This window comes from Homo sapiens, chromosome 20, assembly GCF_000001405.40.
Source record: "Homo sapiens chromosome 20, GRCh38.p14 Primary Assembly".
Lineage (NCBI taxonomy): Eukaryota > Metazoa > Chordata > Mammalia > Primates > Hominidae > Homo > Homo sapiens.
The window spans coordinates 21113346-21140658 of record NC_000020.11 but is presented as its reverse complement, the minus strand read 5'-3'; the positions used below and the strand labels follow the sequence as shown (position 1 = coordinate 21140658).

The window sequence follows — 27313 nt, the reverse complement described above, 5'->3', positions numbered from 1 at the left end:
TTTATCCAACTGACAAGTAGCAGCATAGATATAACACTGTATTTTCAAAACTACATAACACGTCAATATCCTTTAAAAGCCCTGAAAATTATTATAGGCCTCCAAATAAAGTATTATGAGTCATAAAATCAGTTGACAGTGTTTTCAGTATTTAGCTCATTTTAGGAGATTTTAGCATTATATAGTGAACTGGGCCCAGCCCACCTCTACAAAGTGGGAGAAAGTCACTTGGTATCAGTTTGGGCAAAACCCCCACTTCTCTCACACTGCTTCACTTGGTTGCACTTTCTGGAATTCTACCAATTTGAAGTTCATTTGTATTAACTGTAGTCTGTTCAAGGTGCAATACCTGTGGCATTTTGGGGTGTGTGGGCAATGCACTGTGAACACCTTTCTCCCAAGACTTATGTGAGGTCAGTCAAGAAAGGAGGTAAACATCTGATACCTGGATGGCAGCATTAAGAGGAGACAAGTGGTTCTGGCATACCTGGGCCACCTCTGGACTCTGGCCCAAAAGGAAGAAGCAGAAAGAAATGGGAAAACACCAGAGACAAACATCCCCTATGTTGAACCTCAGCTCACTGCACAGCCTGCTGAAGAAGATGGGATCACTGGAGGGGTCGCTGACATTGCTGTCTGGGTTCGTAGGCACACAACAAACATTCATTGGCTTTGGACCTAGGGTGATGGCCAAAGTCCAGTTCTCCATGGAACTCACATCCTTCCTGAGTGTAGTGCCATGATTTGGTCTTTTACGCTACTAGAAGAATTTTTTTAAAGGCATTCCTTATCCAAAATTCAAATAAGGAACACCTACATAATTTTTGAACCATGTTTATTAATAAAGCTTTTCATATTCCTATCTAGTTTGTCATGTTAAAATGGTCCCCCATGTTGATAGTCTTAAGCAGCTCATACAAGGTTTTTTTAATAACATATCCTATTTTATATAATGAATGCTCTCAATATAAAAAATTACAAAAGATGATTCTTCCCTTCAAATTCCTTCCTCTCAAATTTGGTTATAATAAGAAATCAACTATTAAATGAAGCCTCAATATGAAGATAAGCAGAAATGTTCTATTATTTCCTTTATTTTATTGGGAAGACAAAATTCCCTCCTTTGCCCATCACTTTCATTTTCTCCATGAAATCTTTGAAAAGTGGTTTACAACATTGATAATGACAACTTTTTTTGAACTTTAAACATTTTTCATGAATACTAAAAGAAAAAATTGGGAAGCTAAAACTTGCTATTGCTTGAACACATTTAACCATATATCTTGGTTTCTAAATACCCCTCTCCATTAAAAAGAACCACAGCTCCTTGGATAGGAGGTTAATTCCATATCTGAGGGAGAAAAAATGTGAGGTAAACCTGGAATATCTTGTTATGCCCCAGATCAAAGAAGGCTCAGAATTAACGGGGTTATGTCAAAAGGACACAGGAGCCAATCTGGAGAGACTCCAATTGGCCAAATATAAGACGATAAAACAACAAAAAGAATAATTACTGTAATTGATAACATACTAGTAAATAGAAATTCACAAGTCCATCATAACATTAAAAAAAAAAAAAAAAGGTCCTACGGCCATACCACCCTGAACACGCTTGCTCTCATCTGATCTTGAAGGCTAAGCAGGGTTGGGCCGGTTTCATACTTGGATGGGAGACTTCCTGGGAATACCAGGTGCTGTTGTAGGCTTTAAAAAAAAAAAAAAAAAAAAAAAAGAGGTTGAAAGAAAGAAAAGGGGGAAAACATTCTTCGTTATAGAGGAAAGTCAGCTAACAGAAGATACAATAAAACAGAAAATCACCACTTTTCATAACCTCCACTAGAAATAACTGGTTCAGGCAAGGCTCAGATCTATAGGTTCTAAAACCATTAGGTAAAAGGATACTAAGGAACACAATATTCCCATGATGCCAACCCATCACTCTATAGATGAGTTACTAATATGCAAAAGGGGAAAAAAATGTACCTTACAATAGAGACATCTAGAGATCATCATCTTAACCAAGGGGTCAAAGTCAGCCTCACCCAGGGGCCACCTGACATCATGGGCCTCCTGATGGGATGCAGTTGGAAGTATAACCTCAGGTGTAACTATTTAAATTAAAATTAATTAAAATTGACAAAATTAAAAATACAGTCTTCAGTGTCACAAGCCACATTTTAAGTGCTCAACAGCCATATATGAGCAGTAGCTGTATTAGATAGCATCAGCATAGATACAGAACATTGTCATCACTGCAGAAAATTCTACTGGACAGTGCTTGTTTAGACCACATTTCCAGTTCACAGGAAATACAGGGGATGCTGTGCAAGTTAAATGATGCCTTAGATTCAGAATGCGGATCACTCTACAAGCAGATGGACTGCCTTTTTCAAAATAGCCAATGACATGGGGAAAAAAAAGGAGGAATGGTAGGAGACTAAATTAGATTAAAAGAGACAAAAAAGGCACAATAATCAATAACATAGAAAACAATACATGAGCCCTAGTTGGCTCCTAGTCTGGAAAAATAAGTTACTTTTTGGGAGAAGTGGGGAAATCTGAATACGAGCTGAAAATTAAATATTATGTCTGGGTGCAGTGGCTCAAACCCATAATTCCAGCACTCTGGGAGGCCAAGTTAGGATAATTTCTTGAGACTGGGAGTTCGAGACCAGCCTGGGCAACATAGTGAGACCTCATCTCTACAAAAAAATAAAAAATTAGCCAGGCATGGTGGTGCATGCCTATAGTCCCAGCTTGAGGCTGAGGAGGGAGGCTCGCTTGAGCCCAGAAGGTTGAGGCTACCATAAGCCATGATCACGCCATTGCACTTCAGCCTGGATGACATGGTAAGGCCCTGTCTCAAAAAGCAAATTGTGGAATCATTTTTAATCTTCTTAGACGTGATAATGGTATGATTATGTAGGAGACTGTCCCTGCATTTAGGAGATCCACGCTCAAGTGCTTAGGAAAGAAGTGTCATGATGCCTGCAGCAGACTTTCAATGGCTCAGAGAAAAAAAAAAATACACATACAAAGCAAATATAACAAGATATTTACAACTACTGCATCTAAGTGGAGAATTATGAGTGTTCATCATAATAATTATGCTAACTCTTCTGTGTATTTGAAAATTTTACAATAAAAGGCTGAAGAAAAACTGCAGGGCAAAAAAAAAAAAAAAGGTAGGGGGGCTCAGTAGCAGGCTAGCAGGCAGAATACTGAATCCAACTCCTCCTGTGACCAGTGTTAAGATGGGTTACATTGGACAACACCTGACCAGTGCAAATGGTGAGGATAAAGGCCTAGCTCCTGGCCCTCCACACTTGGCATAATTTGTGGAGCAGCAGGAAGCCAAGCAGCAGCAGGCAGCCAAGCACCTGCACTTCAAGGGGAAAAAGGTGCCAGAACCAGAGAGAGCTGCAAGGGCAGTCACTCTGGGTCACACAGACCAGGAGCATAAAGGCAAACTCCTCGGGGACAGTTCTACCCTTACTACTCTCCCAATGCACTGTTTGCCAGAGAAGAGGGGCCCAGACCACAGAAAAAGAACCCTTTCAAGACAGAATCAGTTTCTAGAGAGAACCCCAATGCTGCTCAAATTCAGTCATTCAGCCAACAAATACCATGTGTTACACCGTGCCAGGTACTGGCTAGTGATCTTGCCTGTGTTAGAGATATCCCATTGATTCCTTAACTAAAGAAGAATCTTGGAAAATGCAGTTTCAAGTTCCCTGATAAAATTCAGCCACATGGTAATTCACAGAAAAAGCTGATACTTAATCCTAATTATGAACAACAAAACATTAGTGACTACCACTGATCTGAAACTTAGTACTCATTATTTCTCATTTTAGCAAAAAAAAGATTAAAAACAAAACATAAACCTGGGGTGTGCATCTGTAATCCCAGCTACTCGGGAGGTACACAGCTACATGGGGTGTGCACCTGTAATCCCAGCTACTCAGGAGGCTAAGACAGGAGGACTGCTTGAGCCCAGGTGTTCAAGTCTAGCCTGGGTAACACAGTGAGGTCTCATCTTGAAGAAAAAAAAAAAAACACACAACAACAAATAAAATAAAACACAGTAAAAAACAGGAAGTCACCTTCAGTTTTTGAAGCTTCTCTGTATTTGTGGTGAAGTGTACAACATGAGCTTGGACACGCTCAAATCGCTTTAAATATTCTTGGTTTCGAGTATGAGCCTTCTTTTCAGATTCACATATTTCCTTCAGATAATTCTTTAGTTTTACATATTTCAGCTTAACTCTAGAAAATTAAAAGCAGTTTTAAAACAATGGACTAGACTTGGACGAATCTAAGAAAGGGAATTTTCTTCATCAAAATTGTTAATGAGACAATGTATTCTAAGGTATTTTACCCAAACCACCGAAACCCAAACAACAAAATGTATATACACATTTTTGGAGAGAGAAAGTTAATGCAGCACCACTGAGGTATCATATCGGTTTCCTCTAAGCATAACTCCCCTGAGAAATATATATAAGACCACATTCTAACATTCACACAGTAAAGATTTCTATGGATTTATTTCTCAAAATTAAATGTGATTTCAAGAGTAGTGTCTATGTGGACATGTTCGACGAATGGCTCACTAACATTCTTACATATGACAATTTCAAAAATAACTGCTCATATGGAATTAAATCAAACTACAAATCACAACCCATAAAATTAAGAAATTAAAAAGAAATTTAAAAATGTAAAATACCAAAAGCTCTCATTTAGATAATATAAACATACTTGTTAGAAATTGCTACAATATAATTCACTATTAAAATATTTTATAATATATGGACTATAATTACTCCAACTGTGAAAAAAACTTTCAGACTCTTATCCAAAGTATAATAGCAAAAACATATTCTGCATTCCAATTTTTCTGTACATAAAAAAACATACTGGATAGTTCAAGTTGTGTAGTCGACTTTTCTCATGGCACCAACGCTGTTAATCCTAACTCTTCTTCCCTGTTATACAGCATTTCAATTGTTGGCTCAATAAATTATTCAACATTCTTTCATCAAACAAAAATAAAATTTAAAATGACAAAAATATTCACCCTCAAAACAAAGATTTGCAAAGATGCTGGAGATGTCCAAAGTTGTTTAACAACAGATCTTAAACTTCCAATCCTAGGCCAACAATTTTCAAGAAAGTCTTTATCGTGTTAATAATTCTGCGCTTTGACCATGGTTGGCTGTCTTCATTTTTCTTTCTGAATAAAAACTGAAGGCTGGTCTTATTGCTGCCCATGTCTCTGCATTTTTGACGCAAGTAACTGTAACAGAGGTAGAACCTAACATACTGTCGTTCACACTCAGGCACTCAGTAAAGCTGCTGCTGGTGGTGTCTACCCGGAGTGGGTACAATTGTACTATGCCTTCTCCATCCAAATTCTAGTTCCATTCCAGCTACCACATTAACCTTCAAAGCTGACCACATGAGTGAGTAACTCATCTACCCATGCAATTATCCATATATTCAGCACTCTAAAGATCAAAGTCTTTCAGCTAAGGTCAACAAAGAAAACAATGAAATAAGTAAATACGTGATGAATGCTATGAGGGAAACTAAAAAGGACTTCTACACACCGGGCAACCTGACCTAGCTGAAAAGGCCAGGGAGGCCTTCCCAGTGGAAATAACTTTCAGCTAAGACCTGAAAGATGGGTCGGGCATGGGGGTTCATGGCTGTAATCCCAGCATTTTGGGAGGCCGAGGTGGGTGGATCACCTGAGGTCCGGAGTTCCAGACCAGCCTGGCCAGAATGGTGAAACACCGCCTCTACTAAAAATACAAAAATTAGCCGGGTGTGGTGGTATGTGTCCGTAATCCCAGCTACTCAGGAGGCTGAGGCAGGAGAATTGCTTGAACCCGGGAGGCAGAGGCTGCAGTGAGCCGAGATCACACCACTGCACTCCAGCCTAGGCAACAGAGCAAGACCCTGTCTTGGGGAAAAAAAAAAAAAAAAAAAACCTGAAAGATGAATGAGAGTTAATCAAAATTGATGAAGCCAAAAATGAAAAGATGAGGGGAAAACATTCCAGGTGGGGGAACAGCATGTCAGAAAGCTCGACGGCAAAAAATAGGAAAAAGAATGTTGATAAAATTGTAATAAATAATAATTGGCTCTAGGTCAGACACTGCTTTAAGGGTTTGTATGAATCTTAGTGAGTTCTCACAGCTGTCATTGTTCCCATTTGACAGAAGAAGAAATGGAGGCACCGAATGTTGGAGTAATTGCCCCAAGGTCACCGGCTCAGAGCTGGTGAGGCTCAGATGGAAGTGAAGCACCTAACCACAGAGCCTAGAAGTTTATACCACATTACAAAACATCCCGTCATGCTTAAGAGCCTGACGTTTCAGTCAGTGTCGAATCTTAGGGAGAGGCTGGAGAGAGATGGTGATAATGTAAATTAAAAAGGGTGCAGATAATGGCGTGTCTGGTGGGCTGCTGGATGAGACACCCTTTGTGCCCACCTCACGCCTCCTGGCCCGACCTTTTTTCTACCATCCACAGTCGCCACAGTCGCCACAGCCGCCACAGCCTGCTGCATGTGGTATAACCTGAGAGCGTCTGCCTCTGCCTCTGCCTCAGCTGCACTTGGCATTTCAGGGCTGCCGTTCTGAGTTTGCAGCATGGAAAAGCCTAGATGTGTAAAGGAGTTAACTCCACCTGGGGCTGCCCTTACCAGTGGGGGTCAGAAACCGGTAGGAATACAGCCCCATCTCCTTTCGCAGGATTAGACACTGTGCGGAGCAGAAGGGTAGTCTACACTGCTCCTCTGAAGGCTCCTCTGAAGGTCTGGAGGGACTGAGCCCCAGGTGCTCACTGCAGTGAACAGCTCTTATTTCGGTCAGCCCAGCCCTGCTCTCCAATTTTAGGTGACCACCTTGTCAAATAAATTACCACTTATACACAGACCCTCGTCTCAGACTCTGCCTTCTGGCAGGTACTAGGTGGAGGCAGCCTTGTTTGGATTTTCTTCTACAGGCAATCTAAGCAAGCCTATTTTTAGCAAATCATATCCTCTGTCTTCCAGGAAACAGTAAGAGGCTGGGAGAGAAGCAGCAGCTCAGTGAACTGACGGCTTGGTAAAAGTGCCCATCCTTTTCTCACACTTGCCCCTCCCACCACCAGAAGGCCAGGAGCCTTCCCAAGAACAGACTGCATGAAACGTCTACACACAATCTTCTGCCCTTTAGCCATGGGCTAGAAAAATGGCAGCTGCCAAGGATCCCCTCAGACTTGGGCCCACTCTTGAGGCCACAGCATCCACAATGCTGGCTATTTCTTCCACACACAAAACAACTGATTTCTTGTCTCTTTCAGAGTTACTAGAGTCATACGGCTGTCTACCTCAACTGGAAGCTTTGGAAGTACACTAAATCTTAAAACCAAAGAATAATTTTGAAGACAAGGGAAAGAACTGACCTAATAGGTAATTTGACTTTAAAGGATTCTTGGCCTCTCTCTCTTCTGGATGAGATCTTTTCATTTCTCACTCATAGTGTGACATGGATAAATTACAAACTTAATGCTATCAAAGCCAGAAGTTCTTCATATGAATAATATAAGAGGTAATGCCATACTTTTGGCTTAAGGATAAAGTTCAGTTTTTATAAAATAGAAATTAAAATATTTAAGATCTGCTCTTAATAGTGGAGGAAGAAACCTAAAAAGGATAATGCGTACAATATATTATTCACTGCTTATAATTTTAATAGTCATTCTCATATATCCATGAACAAATGAGATACCAGGTAATCCTGCCTACAGTAGTACCTTGAAAGATCAACTACAGTAATTATGTCTTAATCATCACACAAGCTCAATGTGTTTAAATTGCAACCAAAAAGATAAGGCTATGTCTTATTTTAAGATTTTTAAGCAAAACAGATTCTTGAAATAAAACAAATATGAAATAATGAAAATAACATATTTTGATCTCATACCGATTTTAACCAAATTTGATAGTAATTATATTAAACTGCACTGTTTATTTCAAATTATTACACACTAAAAATAAGAGAATGGTAAGAGTACTCCAACTAGGCTGGGCACAGTGGCTCACTGCTGTAATCCCAGCATTTTGGGAGACAGAAGCGTGGGGATCACTTGAGGTCAGGAGTTCGAGACCAGCCTGGCCAGCATGGTGAAACCCAGTCTCTACTAAAAATAGAAAAATTAGCCAGCATGGTGGCACATACCTGTAATCTCAGGTATCCCAGCTACTTGTGAGGCTAAGGCAGGAGAATTGCTTGAACCTGGGAGGCAGAGGTTACAATGAGCCAAGATCACACCACTGCACTCCAGCCTGAGCGAAAGAGCAAGACTCCATCTCAAAAAAACTAAACAAAACAAAACCAAAAACCCAGTACTCTAACTACAATATTTATGACATAACATTAGGGTTACATTTTTGATTAATATATGGAACCTGGCTTGAAAACTGTTCCCACTGTCGTCTCTTACCTGCATGTATCAGACTGATTATATTCATAAAGTTTCTTTTCCAGGTCCAATCTCTTCTTTTCACTATAATAAAAAACATTTTATAAGTAATTACATGATAAGTAACAGGGAGTTGGATTTAGACCATGCTCTTCTTTGAAATAATGGCTTTGTTGCAAGGTGTTGATTAGAGGTCAAAAAAAGCCCAAATACCAAATCACACCTTTGTGAAAATGCTTCTCTGGTCTAAGAAGCAGAAAATGCCAGACGCATCTAAAACAAAAGGCACAAAAGTATGCAGCAGTCGCCAGGGAAATCTAAAAAACAAAACGAACACCAATAGGAGACAAAAGAATAAAATCCACAAAGTAAATGGGGAAATGCAATAGGAAAAGTCTGAGAAGCAGGTGCCTTCATTTAGCAAGTATTTCCTGAGTGCCTATGATGACCCAGGCACTGTTCTAGGCCTGGAGACTAATATGGCGAACTAGCCAGCCAAGACTCCTGCCCTCAAAGAGTTGACATTCTAGGGAGAAGGACAGACAATAATAAACAAGATAAGTATATAAAATGTAACGTGGCCAGACTTCTCTGAGTCGCTGGCATTTCGGTGATGGGGTCCCATCAGATCTTGTGTACAGATTGAAGACTGGTGGCTTGCTCTGTTTTCAACCAGACAAGCCTGGGCACAGCCAAGTGGATGAGATAGAGAAAGACCTCTGAAAAGTAAACCTGGCCTCACTTACATCTGATGAAGACCAGGCCTTCTAAGACCATCATTTCAAATTTGGAGGGATTTCTTTTTATAACTCTGTAATGGTGTCATTATTTGTCACAGGTTGCTGTTTTCCTGGAGCTACTACCAGTAAAGACTGAACCTGTGCTGTTCAGGTGAGTGCTAGCAGTAAGCTAAGGAGAAAACCTGTCTTACCCCACAACCAGCCTGGGCAAGGACGAGGGGGAACTGGGCAGCAGAGGAAGCAGAGGCAGCCAAAACCAGGGGGCTGGGGGATAAAACTGATGAAGCCATTCAGTCCCAAGAAGAGTGCCTGGGAGGATTAGCCACAGAGGGTTCCATCTGAGCACCACTATTTGTTTCAATCCCACCTAATTGAAGCTAAATTGCTCATCTAAGTTAACATTAAGTAAAGGCCAAAAAAGAAACCACATAATATTCTATCCAAGCAAAGAATCCTAAACAAAAGGCTGTGAAATAAAGATAAGGACTCCAACAGAGGTGATCTCAGGTTGGCTTCCTGAGGGAAAGGGGCTGGCCCCATGCTCCATTTGTGAGCTCTTAATTATCAGTTTCTATATATCTTCAGAATAGTTCTTTTCCTTTAAAAAAAAGATCATCCCAAAAGTCACTGTTAGCTACATTACAGGTTACATAACTTTCTTTCCTTTGCATAATGTTAAATGGAAACTACTATTTAACCAAAATTCATTTAATGGGAATATGGGGTCCAAAATCCAGACACAGAATCTTCACTTGGGGAACACAACCCATGGGTTGCAGTATGCCTATGTTAAAAAGAAAAAAAAAAGATTAAAAGGAAAAAAATTACAAAAACACACATTTTTAACTAATAGCATCACAAATCTTTACCTTCTCACTAGTAAGAGTGAACTTAGAATAGAAGTGAAGGAAACATAGCATAATTGCTTCCACATTAGAAATTTTTATTAGTTACCATTCCCCCCCTAGAGTTTCATGATCAATTGGGTACTTGGTTCATGCAGAATGAATGACTGGATAGTGTGAGCAACTTGTCATTAAATTACAAAGAAAGGAAGACCTCTGAATACATCTATGACCCCATGCCCTGAGGTAGTGCTTCATTTCTGTTGTATTCCTAAGAAAGCACGACTGCAGTCTGGTAATGAGACACCATCAGATAGACTCAGCTTGAGGGTCACCCTCTAGAATGAAAGCTGTACTCTATGAACTTGTCAGGAACATGAAAGACAGGGAAAGACTGAGGAATCGTTCCAGATGTAGGGAGACTGAAGAGACATGCCAGCCAAATGCAACCGCGGTTTGCAGGTGAGCCACTGGACCAGGGGGAAAAAAAAGGGAGCATCGTTAAGATAGCTGGTGAAATCTGATGCAGTCTGCGGACTGGTTTCACCACTAGGAGGGCTGTATGGTGTGATCATGTACAAGAACATCCTTGGCTTTTGGAAACACACATTGAAGATTTTAGGAGTGATGAGGCATCATATATGCACTTCTCAAACAGATCAGAAAAGGCTAATGGTTTTAGATAGACAGATTTAAATAGATACCCAACTGATATCTCAGTGTCAAAAATCTAATAAAATGTTAATAGTTGAGGGATCTGGGTGACAGGAACACTGGAGGTCTTTGTCCTATATTCGCAACTTTTTTGTAAGCTAGAATTTACTTTAAAAAATATATATATATATACACACATTTTTTTTTTTTGAGATGGAGTCTCACTCTGTTGCCCAAGCTGGAGTACAATGGCACAATCTCAGCTCACTGCAACCTCTCCCTCCTGGGTTTAAGGGATTCTGTTTCAGTTTCCCAAGTAGCTAGGATTACAGGCATGCGCCACCACACCCAATTAATTTTTGTATTTTTAGTAGAGACGGGGTTTTGCCATGTTGGCCAGGCTGGTCTCAAACTCCTCACCTCAGGTGATCCACCCGCCTCTGCCTCTCAAAGTGCCGGGATTATAGGTGTGAGCCACCACGCCCAGCCACTTTAAAATAATTTCTAAAATTCACCTATGACTTCTAGTGAAAAAGGACCACAGTCACTTTGGAAATCCACCACCTCCCAAGCAGCAAGTTCTTCTTAGTAATGAATGTAAAATTTATTTGTAAAACATCTTCAGCAGATGCAGACATCTGCTGCTCACACTTCTCTATCATAACACTTCATACCCTGATAATCAAACTCCTCTTGGCTTTCTCTCCCAGGCAAAACGGTGGTAATCTTGTTAACTCTTCTTCACAGGCCTATTTTCTAGCCCCTCATCCACACTGCAGCACCTCAGAATGCTGAGCCCTCCATGTCTTTTTAAAATTTAATACTAAAAACCAGATATTTGCCTCAATGAAAAGCCTTTCCATGGCTTGCAATTCTTACATATTAAATCTCTATTCAGAATCTTTGAAATACCCATCCCTGGGATGCTTACCCATAGTTCATGTTTTCAGTCACCCCTCACTTGGACCTTTCAGTTTTACACAGCTAAGTGGTCCTTATCTTGCTGAGTTTTCTACTTTTAAGCCACTTGTTATTCTGTTTTTGTCTCGATACCACAATTCTATACCATCTTCAGCTTACTCTACTAATATCTCAGTGTCAGTTTCTAGACTATTATGATATCTTACTCTGAATCAATATAGGCACTGAAAAAACCGCGGCTGGCTAATGGGCCCTTTTAAAAGGATGTTTTTGTATAACCGTAAGAGCCAATTCCACTTATAAGTTTCTACCATGCTTGTGGGTGCTATACACACTGTAACAAGTCACTCCATTAGACTCTTTTAGATTCAATTATTGACTTTCACCACAATGCAGAAAAAACACTGTACACACATAGGAAAACATTCAGACGATAAAATTACATCTACGTGTAACTACAGCTAACATGACTTGGGCTGGAAATATGCTGGTTATTTGACCAGCTAACATTGCAATGACCACCTCTAAAAGGGCTGAGAAAGAGGGAGTTTTTTTTTGTCTCCCACTTCCCAGAAGTTTCTGGATTGATAAAGCAGCTGTGACTACCCAGGGTTGCTCCCTATGAAATGACTCAGGAATTTTAGGAGACAGTGGTATCTGTGATCAGTGGGATGCTTTGTGTTTCTTTGTTTAAAAAGGTACAACCAAGGCCGGGTGCAGTGGCTCACACCTGTAATCCCAACACTTTGGAAGGCAGAGGCAGGCAGATCACCTGAGGTCAGGGGTTCGAGATCAGCCTGGCCAACATGGTGAAACCCCATCTCCACTAAAAATACAAAAATTAGCTGGGGTTGGTGGTGGGCGCCTGTAATCCCAGCTACTAGGGAGGCTGAGGCAGGACAATCGCTTGAACCTGGGAGGTGGGGGTTGCAGTGAGCTGAGATCATGCCATTGCACTCCAGCCTGGGTGACAGAGTGAGACTATGTTTCAAACAAATAAACAAACAAACAAAAAGGTACATCCAAACACTCAAATTGGATACAGACAATAATATTCTTTACACATTGCTTTGCAAAACTACAGCTTTCAGCTTTTTTTTCTTTTTTTACTTTAAGGCCCATTATTCTAGCAAAGAGAGAAAGAAAAAAATCTGTGGCCTTACTTTGCATATTAGTCAAGCCCCCTCATTCCTGGTAAAGAACCAAGGTTCAGAGAGGTGGAACAACCTGCTCAAGGTCACACAATTGTTCGTGGACTAGAATCCAGGTTTTGATATTTCTACTGCAGCCTTTTCTGTATCTAGAATTATTTGCCTCTATAACTGTGTCCAGTGTGCATTAATTTGAGTTAGTTATAAATTCTTAAAATGAAAAATGAACACACACAGCAACAGATTTGTACTGACTTAAAAATAAAACAAATCTCGAAATGCAGAACCGTGAACAGGCTATAAAATTTGATTCACATTCCTTATATATTTTCAACAGCCTCACCTTGTTTAATAATTAAATAAGTGTTAATCATAAAGTACATAATTATTATACAGTTATTGTGCCATAAGGACTATAAACAGCCAGGTGTTCCTAGCACAGGAAACAAAAATAACTTACAATTAATAGTTCAAAAAGAATGCCATTTATGAGTGCTGTAAGAATGCCAAGAGTCACAAAAGTTAGGGAATGGGTTGAAACAGGGAAGGCTCTACAGGAAGAGATTTCTTTTTAAAGTCAGAAATTAAGAGGTCACTGATATGGGTGAGCGGTGACATGTCAGAAAGAAAATAGGACGTAGAAAAGGAGTACAAGGTAAAAAAAATGCTAACGACAATTAAGGAAGCCTGTTGTAGATGCTCTATAAATATCTGACAAGAATTAAATCTAGCGTAAGATAAATGTAATTCCTTTTCAAAATCGCTCACTTCTGCCTTTATTTTCCATGTAATTATTGTTATCATTTTAGCACTGTCACGCACACAGCTCTCCTGTTCACTAGAATGATTTTGTAACTTTTAACACTCATTAAATGTTTTGTTTATCAAGAGATCCAAAAATGTATTTCCTTTCTTGTCAACTAATGAGAGTTACAACTCCAATTAACTTAGCAGCTAAATAAGAGGTCCAGCAATTTATCTTTTACGTGGTTATTCATAGTACATTGCGGTATAATTTTCTCTCTATATGCACTCTTAGATCTAGCTGTTTTCAGTGGTTCCCATCTTTCATATCTTAATCAAAGGCATCATGAACCCTCTGGAAGCTGGACTTCTCTAGCTGGAAATTTCATCCCTTCGCTGGAAATCTAGCCAGCCCTCGCTACCCCTAAAAGTCTCCTGAGTTTAAACGGGGGCACATGTTTGACACACACACACACAACCGTCTGCGTTCCAGGACTTGTCATCATTGATGCAGTGCAGCTGTCACGGCGGGATGGCAATTTGAAGAGAGTGGGGAGGGGGCGTGTAAAAGGGGACAAGAGAAACTCACAAGGCTTGATGGAGAGTGACAGGCAGAAGAACTCCCACCTTCACTTCTGGGCAAATTCTGTGACGCGGCCGCATCCTCAAACCGTAGACCAGGCTTTAGCTGCTATTGACGGGGCGGGGGCGGTCTCTCACCTCTCTCCGCTCCCACCCCCAATACAGGGGGTGGCTCTAGTAAACACTGTCCTCCAGGCCCCACTGGGAGCCTGGGGGGCGTTGCGCGCGGGCCTGGGCCCCGGGGAACCTCGGACGGGGGAGCGGGAAGGAAAATGGGGCAGGGCACGCGGAAGACCCCCGGCGCGGGCCGACTCCCCACCCCCGCCCCAGTGCCCTTACCTGTCCCGCAGCCCGTGCTGGAGTTGGCCCAGCCTCTCGTAGTAGTCGGGACTCGACAGGGGCACGGCCGATGCGAGGGTCCGGCTCATGCTGCTGCCGCTGCGCCAGCTCAGCACAGCCTCTGGGTGGCCGTTCGGCCGGGGTTGCCGAAGGAGACCGCCCCACCATGCACCGCGGGTAAACACCGCGCCGGGCCGCCTGCAGGAGGCGGGGCAAGACGCCGTGGGGGCGGGGCGCCGCTGAGGGACGGGGCGGAAGCCGGCTTTGTGGGGGGCGGGACGAAGACCTGCATGGGGCGGGGAAGAGGCGTGGCAGAGGCGGGGCGTCGTGAGGCCGGGGCGGACCACGTCGGAGGGGCGGGCGCTCGGTGCCCTCTCCTCTCTCCCTTGACGCGGTGTCTCCTTTCCCCTCACCTTCCAGGATTCGCACAAGCTACGTTAATGTTACAAGGCGCATTCCCTCCCTTTCTTTCGTCTCTCGCTTGCTTCTTTTCCTCGATCTCCTTTCTTGCCAGGATTTGTTGAGTGCCAGGCACTGTACTAAGCTTGTTCTATTATATCAGCACTCAAAAGCGACACAAAACACCAAGTAAAAAAAGACAAACCCTCAAATGCTAAACAGCCGTGCTCAGCCCCGACAGTGGACCAACCCCTTACTCGAAAATCCGTGCTGAATCTAAGGATTGTTCCAGGTGCCAGTATCGTTGGCGAGAGGGAAAAGTTGATAACTAGTTGCTTGGGAAGCAGACGTTTGTGCAGACAGCTCTAAGGGACAATGCTCCTAATGTCCTGTAGGATCCTCTAGCAGGAGCCCGGGAGCCAGACTGCCTGGGTGTACATTCCCTATCCACGTCCCAGCTGCCAAGCCGTGTGCAAGTCACCCCAGGTTTCCTCATATGTAAAGTGGGAGGCTGTTAACACAGGATTAGTTTAGGATTCGATTGTTAATATGTGTTAGTGTTTATAAGTGGGCCCAGCACATAGAAAGCATCAGGTTTTATTATCATCACCAACGTCGGGAAAAAGCTTCCTGAAGGAAGCCAACCATATTTCAAAACCCACTGGGCAGAAAAATTAAGCCTTAGCCTGCTTCTCTGCCTTCCTTTCCTTTTTTTTTTTTTTTTTTTTGAGACAGAGTCTCACTCTGTTGCCCAGGCTGGAGTGCAGTGGCGTGATCTCGGCTCACTGCAAGCTCTGCCTCCCGGGTTCAAAAGATTCTCGTGCCTCAGCCTCCTGAATAACTGGGATTACAGGTGTGCGCTACCACACCCAGATAATTTTTGTTTTTTTTGGTATTTTTTATATTTTAAGGAGAGACGGGGTTTCACCATGTTGGCCAGGCTGGTCTTGAACTCCCAACCTCAGGTGATCCACCCACCTTGGCCTCCCAAAGTGTTAGGATTACTTGCATGAGCCACCATGCCCGGCCTGTAGAGTTTCTTTAGTCTCTTATTGTTCACTTCTTTTGGTTTCTTTCCTATGCCATTAATTTTACTTACACATACAAGGTGCAAGGTGTGACAAACTAAAATTGTAAGAGAGATGGAACACTCAAAGGCCAACAACACAAAACTATGATTTTACTCAGCCTTCCATTCACATTTGCCAGTTCCAGGGCAAGAGTGTGAATGGAGGCCCTCATACCATCCGCCTAAATATTGAATTATAATTCAAGATAACAAACTTAGGTAAAATACGTGTTCTCCTCTCCACTTTGACCAATATGCCTTCTTAAGAACCTGGACAACCAGGGTGGAATTTAGTTTGCCTGCTTCTCCAGCTCCCCCCAACTCCATTTCCCACCCCAGGCTCAGTCTTGCTTTGTGAGGGGGTCTCATACACTAGCAGGGATGTGTGTGCCCTGCCTCTTCTCCTCCTCTTCTCCAGCCAGCAAGTCCCAACTCTGCCTACATCCCCACCTCAGCCTCCTCTTGGCCGGGCAGTGAGCATGCCAGTGATGGTCACCCTTGCAGGAAAGACCCAGCCAAGAGGCCTTTTAAAGCCTTAGAAAGCAGCTTGGGCCCCTTTGAGCAGGGAAGGTAAGGGTGTTGGGTACTTAGAACGTGTTCTAGAAGAGCATGTGTGTGTATGTGTGTGAGCACCCCAGGTGGGCCTGTCATCTGGCCCTGGGACCTCCTTGCCTTGCGTGGAGCAGCATGGGCAGAGAAGGGCTAGAACAGAACCTCTAATACACAGAAGCCAGGGCAGAGGCCTTCTTGCCCTGGTCCAAGGGTAGCACTGATGTGACTTTTATTTAGTTTTTATTCAGATTATATCCAATTGATTCAGTGGTAATGTGCAAAGGTTTATTTTAATGAGTTTAGTGTAACTAACATTTTACTACAACCCTGGCAAAGAAAAGAAAAGCATTAAATTTTTAGGATATTTTATTTAGGACCATGCCCCCAGGGTTAGTTTTTTTTTTTAAGAAAAAGAATCCCCAAACAATTAATATAACTAATTTTAGCAAGTAGCACAGAGTAAGCAGATGAGGCAGTCATTTAGCACCCAAAATTTTTATTAGGCCATTTTAGGAGAATCTAAAATTAAATGTAATTAAACAGTAAATAGATAATTCAAAATAATTATAATTTACATCCTATGGTTGATTCATTAATGACGTATGACAAATCTAGATGTAGGATCTCCTTTATTAACAATAACACATAGCAAACAAAAGGAATATTTCTAGAGTATTTATGCTAAAATTATGCATTTTAAATGGTGACAGGCTTTCAATAAATTCTGAGTTCTTCACTTTGAATATTTAATTTGCCAGAGCCCTCTATTTTAATATTTTTCTTCAAACTCTTTATTTAGCTGAGCTGATTTCTGTAAGCAGCCCTGCTTTTAGCTCACTGGACCAAGGGTCATCAAGTCTGCCTAGATCAAGGCTTCCTCTAAGTCCTAGAATGTCTTAGCTAGAACTTAGAGGGAGTCTAGCCCCACCCCCTTGTTTTACAGGGGAAAAAGGGTTCAGGGCAGATAAGGGGCTTGGCCAAAGTCACCTAGCTGGAAATCTATGTAATATTAACGAGTCTAGTTCAAAATATGGATCCCTAGTGGTCCCATTAAGCAAACAGCAAGGGAAGCCAGTGTCTCGGCCCAGAAGTCACATGAATCTTTGGGTGAACCAAATGAAATTGTTGTTTTTGTAGCTCAAAAACAAAATTGATTCTGGAAAATATATTGAAATTAGAATTGTACATATATTCTAATATTGGGAAATTCTAATTTCAACATATTTCCATATATATGTATATATACATTACATTTACCAGTTTATTATAAGAATATCACAAAAGATACAGATGAAAAGATTCATAAGGTGAGGTCTGGGGGAAGGGGTGTAGAGGTTCCATGCCCTCCACGGGCACACCACCCTCCAGGAACCTCCTCCACATGTTCAGCCAGCTCAGAAGCTTCCTGAACCCTGTCCCCTTGGGTCTTTTATGGGGACTTTATTGGATAGGCATGATCGACAGTCGTGTAGAAGCGTGATTGGACAAAGGGGACATGATCTAACACTAATTGAGTGGGAAACCCAACAAGTCCTGTTCTGATTCATCTCGGCCTCTCAATGCAGCAGAAATTTTTTTTTTTTTTGAGACGGAATTTCACTCTTGTTGCCCAGGCTGGAGTGCAATAGCATGATCTCAGCTCACCGCAACCACTGCCTCCCTGGTTCAAGCGATTCTACTGCCTCAGCCTCCTGAGTAGCTGGGATTACAGGCATATGCCACCACGCCTGGCTAATTTTGTATTTTTAGTAGAGACAGGGTTTCTCCATGTTGGTCAGGCTGGTCTCGAACTCCCAACCTCAGGTGATCCACCTGCCTTGGCCTCCCAAAGTGCTGGAATTACAGGCGTGAGCCACTGTGTCTGGCCTGCAGTAGCATTTTATATTTTAAAATGTACACACTATGCTGCTTTTAATTAAATCATGTATATTTAGTCAATAACTGCTTGGATATTATATTAATTTGCTAGGGCTGCTGTAAGAAAGCTCCACAAACTAGGTGTCTTAAACAACATGATTTATTGTGTTTCAGGTCTGGAGGCTAGAAATTGAAGATCAAGATATCTGCATGGCTCGTTCTTTCTGAGGGCTGTGGGGAAGAATCTGCCGCATGCCTCTCTCCTGGCTGCTGGTGGTTTGCAGGCTATCTTTGGTGTTCCTTGGCTTCTAGACACATCATCTTGACCTCTGCTTTCATGTTCACATGGTGTTCTACCTGTGTATGTGTCTCCAAATTCTGCCTTTTTATGAAGGCACCAATCATATTGGATTAGACGCCCACCCTTCCCCAGTATGATCTCATCTTAACTAATTACATCTGCATTGACCCTGTTTCCAAAGAAGACTGCATTTTGAGGTACTGAGAGTTAGAACGTCAACATATGTATTGTGCAGGGGACACATTTCAATCCATGATAGATATGAAAGTAGGACAAGATTTCATTTTGCAGTCATTATGCAGACATATCCAATCTGGTAGCCATTAGCCATGGCTATTGGGCAATTGAATATGGCTAGTGCAACTGAGAAATTGAATTTTTAATTTAATTTTTATTTATTTATTTATTTTGAGATGGAGTCTCACTCTGTTGCCAAGGCTGGAGTGCAGTTGTGCAATCTCAGCTCACTGCAACCTCTGCCTCCTGGGTTCAAGCAATTCTCCTGCCTCAGCACCCTCTAACAACTGGGATTACAGGCACACACTACCACACCTGGCTAATTTTTGTATTTTTAGTAGAGACAGGGTTTTGCCATGTTGACCAGGCTGGTCTCGAACTCCTGACCTTAGGTGATCCACCCTCCTCAGCCTCCCAAAGTCCTGGGATTACAGGTGTGAGCCACTGGGCCCAGCCAAATTTAATTTTATTTTAATAATTAAAATTAAAATTTAAGAGGCTACATGTAGCTAGTAGCCACTTTGTTGAACCATGCAGATCTAAAGATGAAGTAGAAAGATGGATAAACATGGAACAGGGAGAGGGAGGACATAAATCACTGGGAAGTGGAAAGATAAGAATAGAAGGTAAGATGCCATCCTTGCTGGGAGGTTGATATGGTTTTGTTCTGTGTCCCCACCCAAATCTTGAATTGTAATACCCCTGTGTCGAGGAAAGGACCTGGTGGGAGGTAATTGCTGTTCTTGTGGTAGTGAGGAAGTTCTTATGAGACCTGGTTGTTTGGTAAGTGTCTGCCAGTTTCCACTGAGAGCTTGCTCTCTCTCTGTCTCTCTCTCTCTGTCTCTCTCTCTCGCCTGCTGCCATGTAAGACATGCCTTGCTTCCCCTTCCGCTATGATTGCAAGTTTCCTGAGGCTTCCCCAGCCATGCAGCAATTAAACATCTTTTGTTTATAAATTACCCAGTCTCAGGTAGTATCTTTATAACAGTGTGAAATGGACTAATATAGAGGTGATGGTCATCAAGAGGAGAGGTGTGATTGTGAATTTATTTTATGTGTCAACTTGGCTAGGCCATGGTGGTCAGTTGCTTTATCAAACACCAGTCTAGACATGACTGTGAAGACTTTTTTTTTAGATGTTGTTAATATTTGAAGCAGTAGGCTTTGAGGAAAGTAGACTGCTCTCCAAAATGTGGATGGGCCTCATCCAGTCAGTTGAAGGCCTTAGGAGAAAAGAATGAAGTCCCTCACAATCTCATGAACCACTTCCTAAAAATAAATCTCTCTCTCTCCATATAAATATATATATATATAAATATATATATATAAATATATATATATATAAATATATATATATAAATATATATATATATAAATATATATATATATAAATATATATATATAAATATATATATATAAATATATATATATATAAATATATATATATAAATATATATATATAAATATATATATATATAAATATATATATATATATACATACACACATATATATACACACACGTGTGTGTGTGTGCGTGTGTGTGTGTCCTACTGGTTCTGTTTCTCTGAAGAACCCTGATGAATACAGGAAGACATGAGGTTACTAACAGCACTTTGCTCAAAGGCATTTGTTTTTTAAATTAAATTAATTTGATTTTAAGACAAAGTCTCAGTCTGTCACCAGGCTGGAGTGCAGTGGCATGATCATGGCTCACTGCAGCCTTGAATTCCTGGGCTCAAGTGATCCTCCTGCCTCAGTCTCCCAAGTAGCTGGGACAACAGGCACATGCCACCATGCCTGGCTAACAAAGACATTTGTAATAGCTAATTTAAAATAATAAGAATTGGGTGCAGATTCCAATAAATAAAATAAAAACATAGATTTCCTCATTTTATTTCATATCATATAAACCAACCATTAATATGTGGGTCCTGGCTGGGCGCGGTGGCTCACCCCTGTAATCCTAGCACTTTGGGAGGTGGAGGCTGGAGGATTACCTGAGCTCAGGATTTAAGACCAGCCTGGACAACATGGTGAAACGCTGTCTGTACGAAAAATACAAAAAATGAACTGGGCGTGGTGGCACATGCCTGTAAGCCCAGCTACTCAGGAGGCTGAGGCAAGAGAATCGCTTGAACCCAGGAGGTGAAGTTTCATGCTGAGATGACGCCACTGCACTCCAGCCTGAGTGACAGAGTAAGACCCTGTCTAAAAAAAAAAAAAAAAAAAAAAAAAAAAAGTGAGTCTCTAAAATACTTGAGTTCTAGAAAAGCTAAATAACAGCCAAAAAATGGAATAATAGAGTAGTTAACTGCCTCTAGCTAGAGACTCACTACTTAAACGAGATGGGCTCACTCTGTCTCACAGCTCTTATATGCCTATGATTTCCACTGAAGTCCTTGAATTGGGCTTCCATGAGGTCTCCAGGATTATCCCTTTGTAGACAAAGAGGAATCCTCAGAGGAGAGAGACTTGAAACACCAAATCTTTGCACTCTTTTCTCCCTGCAGGACTGGCCTGTGGCGTGGTGTACCAGGCAGGAGCAGCTCTGCAGCCCTGCAGCCCTGGGTGCATGAGTGACAGGCTGTGCTGATGTCACATGTGAACAATCTTTGAATGCCAAGATTCTCCTCAAAAATCATTTGGTGAATTTCTTAATTGTTTGCCACTTGGATGCACTTCTCATCAGGGTTCAACAAGTACTCCTAACTACAAGGGTTGGAAACAAAGGGACGCTCTAGGACTGTTCTTACAATTCGCAGGCAGGTTAAAACCAAAGGGTTTGCATAATAAGTACCATTTATTTGATGACTATGTATTTATGTTTACAAGGTGACAGGGCACCTCATGTAGAATGTTCCACTTCTCATTGCCTGCAATTATTCACAGTCTTTGTAAAAATGTTGGCTTCATTCATTGCTGGGGCACACCTCAATGATGACTGCTACACAAAATAACCTCCCTTCACTTAATCATCAAACATTTGCCATTGTGTCCTCAAGAAGCAGTCAGATACAAGAGTTGGGAATTTGGGCTCAGGTGCCTCCTCTGCATAGTATACTATCACTTCTCTTACAACCTGTGTGACCCTGGGCAGATTACTTACCCTTGATGTGCCTCCAATTCCTCATCTGTGAAATGGTGATCGTAAGAGTGCCTTCCTCTCAGGGTCATTGAGAGCCTTAAATGTGGTGATCTGTGTGATGCACTTGGAATCATGCCTGGTAGAATTATCCCTCAACCAACACAAGCTAGCATTGCTTCTTAGGAAGACAAGAAAAATATCCCTTTGGGAGGTGAAGCAAGTCGTCAGAGGTAATGGCCCAAATTCTGCATTTTATGACTTATCTCTGTCTCTCAGAGGCATTTCCTGAGCTTCCTCTCTGTCCTTTTCATCAATTCTACTGGTTCTGCAGTCACCTGCCCACGCAGGGTCAGGTTCTGGTCACCTGAATTCATCACTGATGACTCAGTAGGTGACATTAAGTTGGGAACCTCAACCTGGGATTCCGTTTTACTCCTTTTGTGTCAACCCTGGCAGTTGAGGAGATCTCAGCCCATCAGCCTCAGGGGTAGAAGTCAATGACACGCAGGCAGCACCATGTTGTCTAAAGATCATGTGCTTCAGAATCAGTAGACTTGAGTTCCAGTCCCAGCTCCGCCTCTTAGTGACTGTGTGGCTCTGAGCACATCTCAACATTTTGAATGTCTCATTTTCCTCATTTCTAAAATGAGGGCAATAACATTTTTATTTATCAAGTAATTGCAAGGAGTAAATGAAATAAATATTTAAGACGTCCTTAGCACAGGCCTGGCCCGTAGAAAACACTCAATAAACAAATGGTTCCAACTCTCCCTGAGGACAAGGAAGCATTCTGAATTTCCTAGGACTTCTAAATGTAACCAAAGAGGAATGGAAATGGGTTCATTTTGTTAGAGATTGTACGTGTGTGGTCACATGCATGTGTGTCAGTAAATAGTATCCGATAGCTAATATGATGGAGCTTCACTTTGTGCCTGGCTCTTCACATGTATTGGCCCCGTTTTCCAGATGAGGAATTTGGAGCATGTTGAGGTTAAGCCACTCCACCAAAGCCACATGGCTCGTCAGAGGAGGGGTGGAGTTATAACCCATAAAATGTAGTACCAGAGACCTAATTCTCAACCACTATGTTCTGCTACTTCTCACAATGGCAGGTGTTTGTTGGAGCAGTGAAACTGAGGCACAAGAGGCTGTGTCATATCCAAGGTGGGCCACTGCTGCAGGAGTGGAAGCTGGGGTGGGCCTGTGGAGGTGTTATGCGGGCATTGCTTCTTCCCAGTGGTGGACTTTTTGGGAATGAATTTAAACTGGAATCTTTTTGCAAGTATTTTAATGCCATGTTCTATGACCGCAACTTGATTATAGGCCATCTTCAGGAATAAAGGCTGCCATATATTTCTTCAGCATTCCTCAGCTGAGTTCTGGGACCAGAACCCAGGCCAGAAGACCACCCCAAAGATACTGGATGATGGTCGGGTGTAGCAATAAGAAGCCAACAAGATGTTTTTAAAAATTGAGATATAGTTCACATTTGATGAAATCCATCCTTTGAAAGAGTAAAATTTAGTGATTTTTAGCATATTCACAAAGTTGTACAACCATCAACACTATTAATTCTAGAACATTTCATTGCCCCAAAAAGAAACCCTATACCTCTTAGCAGTCATTCCCCATTCCTCTGTACCCCCAGTCCCTGGCTACCACTAACCTACTTTCTATGTGGGTTTATCTATCCAGGAAATTTCATATAAATAGAATTGTACAATAAGTGGCTTTGTATCTGAAGAAGCCATTATTTTTAATGCAATAAGGTGGTCAATATAGAAGCCAGCTTCCATCATGGCCCCTGTATTAGTTTGTAGGGCTACCATAATAAAGTACCACAAATTGAAAGGTGTAAACCACAGAAATAAATTTTCTCACAGTTCTGGAAGGTAGAAGTCTGCAATCAAGGTGTCAGCAGGGTTGATTTCTTCTGAGGCCTCTCTCTTTTGCTTATAGATGGTCGTCTTCTCCCTGTGTCTACATGATGTCCCTCTGTGTCTGTGTCCCAATCTCCTCTTATAAGAACACAGGTCATATTGGGTTAGGGCTCACCCCGATGACCTCATTTAGCCTTTGACATGATTTGGATCTGTGCCCTCACCCCCCAAATCTCATGTTAAGATGTAATCCCCAATATTGGAGGTGGAGTCTGCTGGGAGATGATTGGATCACAGGGGCAGATCCCTTATGGCTTGGGGCTGGGTGCTGTCTTCACAACAGGAATGAGTTCTCACAAAATGTGGTTGTTTAAAAGTATATGGCACCTCCCTACCCTCTCTCTTGTTCCCATTCTGGCCACATGCCATCCTGCTCCCTCTTTGCCTCCCATGTGATTGTAAGTTTCCTGAGGCCTCCCGAGAAGTTGAGCATATGCTCATGCTTCCTGTACAGCCTACAGAACCATAAGCCAGTTAAACCTCTTTTCCTTAAAATTACCCAGCCATAGGTATTTCTTTGTAGCAATGTAAGAATGGCTAATACAATCTTAATTACCACTGTAGAGAGCCTATCTCCAAACATAGTCACATTCCGAGGTACTGGGAGTTAGGACTTCAACATGAATTTTGAGGGGATACGACTCAGCCCATAATAGTCCTCCAATATTCCTTCCCCTGGAATTCATGCCCTTGTGTAGTCCCCTCCTGCACTGTATCAGGGCCAACCTGTGTGATGTTGTACCAGCCATGTGAGTGCTGATAAGTCGGCAATTAGACTTAGCTGGAGTTAAACCCTCCAGCTCTGTCTAATTTTCAGAGGACTACAGCTCTAGGCAAAATCTGACTGCATCATCACAAGGGATCTCAAGAGAGAACTGAACAGCCAAGCTGCTCTTGAATTCTGACCCTAGAAACCATGAGATAACAAATTATCATATTCTTTTAAGTCATTAAGCTTGGGTATGATTTGGTAGGCAGCATTAGGTAACTGATACAGTTGGGGTGGGATGGTGGTGGTTCAAAAAGTCGATGATTATTGTATACCCACTCTCTTTCAGCCATAGAATCATGTGTGGGAGTCTACTTCTTCAAGCCTCACAAGAGCTCTGCAAAATGTGTGTTATTATCCCTGTTTCATTGAGGCTCGGGGGGTTAAGGAACTTGCTGACTATTTAAATCTAGTCCAGCCTTTCTCCAAGATCTGTGGGTTTTCTACTGTATCATTGGGTCCCTATCATAGGAGACCACCACTCAGGGATGGTGGTGTGTACACAGTTAACTACCTGCTACCACTTAGCAGCAACAAGGGTCACCCAAAATATGTCTCATACTTAACGTTAGAATTCTACTTTGGAAAAGTCACGATTTTGTATTCAATTTTTTCTTCTCTTTTTCTCTCCTATTTTTCTTTCCTTTCTTTCTTCATGGGTGCATGTAGGTGTTAGTGTCTTTAAACCAAAATGACTTATTATATCACATGAATCTGTGGGCCGACTGAGCTCATTTGGATGGCCTGGTTCACATTTTTTTTTAAATCCAATCTATTTAAAAATAGAATCTGCCAGCTTAGCGTTTTCCACCAACTTGGGGAGCTGAAACTTTCACAACCTTCACAGTCTTTTGCTTAGGTGCTGCCTTTGTAGGTGCCTTAGCAGCAGCCATTGCAGTCTTTTTAGATGCTTGCTTAGCCTTTTTTTGCTTCCTTAGCAGCCCTGATAGCTTGTTCTCTTTGAGCCTTTCTAACTTCAGGTTTCTGATCCCTCTTGGCCATTATATCAGCAAGAGATGCACCAGTAATGGCCCTCTGGAATTTGACTGCTCGACGGGTTCTTTTCTTCTGAATTTCTTCTGACTGTCCCTTTTTGTGCTTCGTTCTGTAGAGGACAGTCCAGCTTATCTGCCGAAGATTACTCTTGGAAAGGAATGCCTACTCGCATTTTGAATTAAGAAACCGGAAAACCTTCCCTTCGGTCCTGGCGTAGCGCCTCCTGTGTCCGGAGTAGATCTTGTATCCGCTGAAACTGCACAGCTCGACTTTCATGGTGGCGGCTCCACGGGAGGAGAAAAAAGATGGTAAAGAGAACGGTTCACATATTAAGCACATTCAACCAGGAACTTTGCTGAGGCTGCAATGTCCAGGATGGCTTCACTCTTGTACTGCAGCCTTGGTATAGATGTTGGCTGGGCCTTTCTTTCCACATTATCCCGTGTCAGTCAGTGGTCTTGTTTCTTTCTCTGGTGGCTGGCTTCCAGGACAGCTCTCAAATATTTTTTCATTATTATAATATTTTTGAAACAATACATCATAGGAAATTCAACTGTGAAAAAGACAGCAAAAAATGTCCCTCTCCTTCCTGCCACAAGCCTTCCAGTTTCCTTTTCCGGAGGCAATGAGTTACCAGTATCTTACTTGGCCTTCCTGAGTTATTCTAAGCACATCTTTGTCTATCTGAGCACCTCTACATTTCTGAACCCAGCTCCTATAGCATTTAAAATATGTAAATAGCAGCACTCTTTACACACCGTTCTGCATCTTGTGTTTTTGCTGAACATATCTTGGCGATCCTACTGTATCAGGATATGGAAAGCTATAGATCTGCCTCATCCTTTTAAACAGTTATGTAGAGTTTTGTTTTGTGGATCTTACATGATGCAATTTATCTAGTCCTGTTTTGATGAGACTGTTTTCATTTCATATACTATGATATTGACAGTGATGGCATTTAATATAGTAACTTGTATTTAACTTTTAAAATTGACATAAAATGTCATGGGGTAGGCATCTTTCTAGTACATCACAGCAGCGCCACACTATAGCACTACTAATAAGTCATTTGTCAAATGTGTACATGTGCCTTGCTTATGGAAACACGTGGTCTAGTAAATGCTGCTGACCAGTACCTCTGGGCTTTTAAAAACTTGCATCATTAAGTCATACTTAGAGCTGTGCACCACTACTGTAGGCTCCCTTCCCCCCATGAGATTTTAAAATATCCCATATCACTACTATTTCATTATCTTTAAAAAATTATCCCTTCTTGGCTTCAGTGACCCGCACCTCAGTCGCCACTTCATTTGCTGATTATGTTGCTACTTGAACCCACTCAGAAGAGTAATTCCTAATACCAGCCTTAGGATACAAGCATGGCATGAGGAGCCAGTGCTGGGCTATTAGTGTCCAATTACACACTGCTGGATGCTGTGTTATCATTGTTTCAAGTGCATTACTCCCACATCTGGTAAAACTAAAGAACATAGTCTAGAACCAGAAGACCTGGGTTCTAATTCTAGTTCTGCTACTAACTACCTTGATCATTTGTCAAATGACCTATCTTATTTTTGATTCCCCAAAGCAGATCCCACGACAAGGTTGGAGGGCACAACTAGTTTATTTTGGAGGTTATCCCAGAAAGTGGTT

General features: G+C 41.9%; 1 protein-coding gene and 2 pseudogenes across 13 annotated transcripts in view, besides 5 other annotated features; 1 reads left to right on the top strand and 2 right to left on the bottom strand.

Annotated features, from left to right (window-relative positions):
- Positions 1–14684, bottom strand: part of KIZ (kizuna centrosomal protein) — a 120648-nt gene extending 105964 nt beyond the window's left edge. For 8 of the 13 annotated variants that reach the window (XR_937105.4, XR_001754334.3, XR_007067468.1 and 5 more), the window contains exons 1-3: positions 14455–14577; positions 8500–8562; positions 4107–4269 (exon numbers count right to left, since the gene is read on the bottom strand). Coding sequence is in view for 9 of the 13 variants with exons in the window: in XM_011529296.4 (XP_011527598.1) it covers positions 4107–4269; positions 8500–8562; positions 14455–14543 (315 nt within the window). In the remaining 4 variants the exon portion in view is untranslated. Of the gene's footprint in view, positions 1–4106; positions 4270–8499; positions 8563–14454 lie in introns of all 13 variants that reach the window. The other 5 variants (XM_011529299.4, NM_001163022.3, NM_001352435.2 and 2 more) reach the window with 2 other exon arrangements.
- Positions 1585–1703, top strand: RNA5SP477 (RNA, 5S ribosomal pseudogene 477; annotated as a pseudogene).
- Positions 3987–4196: an enhancer, noted in NCBI's record as "active region_17619". NCBI's record gives its function as "activates an Ori minimal core promoter by ATAC-STARR-seq in GM12878 lymphoblastoid cells {active_cell/tissue: GM12878}" and the evidence as "EXISTENCE:reporter gene assay evidence [ECO:0000049][PMID:35858748]".
- Positions 14059–14108: an enhancer, noted in NCBI's record as "active region_17618". NCBI's record gives its function as "activates an Ori minimal core promoter by ATAC-STARR-seq in GM12878 lymphoblastoid cells {active_cell/tissue: GM12878}" and the evidence as "EXISTENCE:reporter gene assay evidence [ECO:0000049][PMID:35858748]".
- Positions 14269–14848: a silencer, noted in NCBI's record as "silent region_12713". NCBI's record gives its function as "represses an Ori minimal core promoter by ATAC-STARR-seq in GM12878 lymphoblastoid cells {active_cell/tissue: GM12878}" and the evidence as "EXISTENCE:reporter gene assay evidence [ECO:0000049][PMID:35858748]".
- Positions 15009–15108: an enhancer, noted in NCBI's record as "active region_17617". NCBI's record gives its function as "activates an Ori minimal core promoter by ATAC-STARR-seq in GM12878 lymphoblastoid cells {active_cell/tissue: GM12878}" and the evidence as "EXISTENCE:reporter gene assay evidence [ECO:0000049][PMID:35858748]".
- Positions 21774–22973: an enhancer, noted in NCBI's record as "P300/CBP strongly-dependent group 1 enhancer chr20:21098327-21099526 (GRCh37/hg19 assembly coordinates)". NCBI's record gives its function as "activates an origin of replication core promoter dependent on BRD2, BRD4, P300/CBP, MED14 and CDK7 cofactors, with strong dependence on P300/CBP, by STARR-seq in HCT116 cells {active_cell/tissue: HCT116}" and the evidence as "EXISTENCE:reporter gene assay evidence [ECO:0000049][PMID:35650434]".
- On the bottom strand, positions 25429–25978 carry RPL24P2 (RPL24 pseudogene 2; annotated as a pseudogene).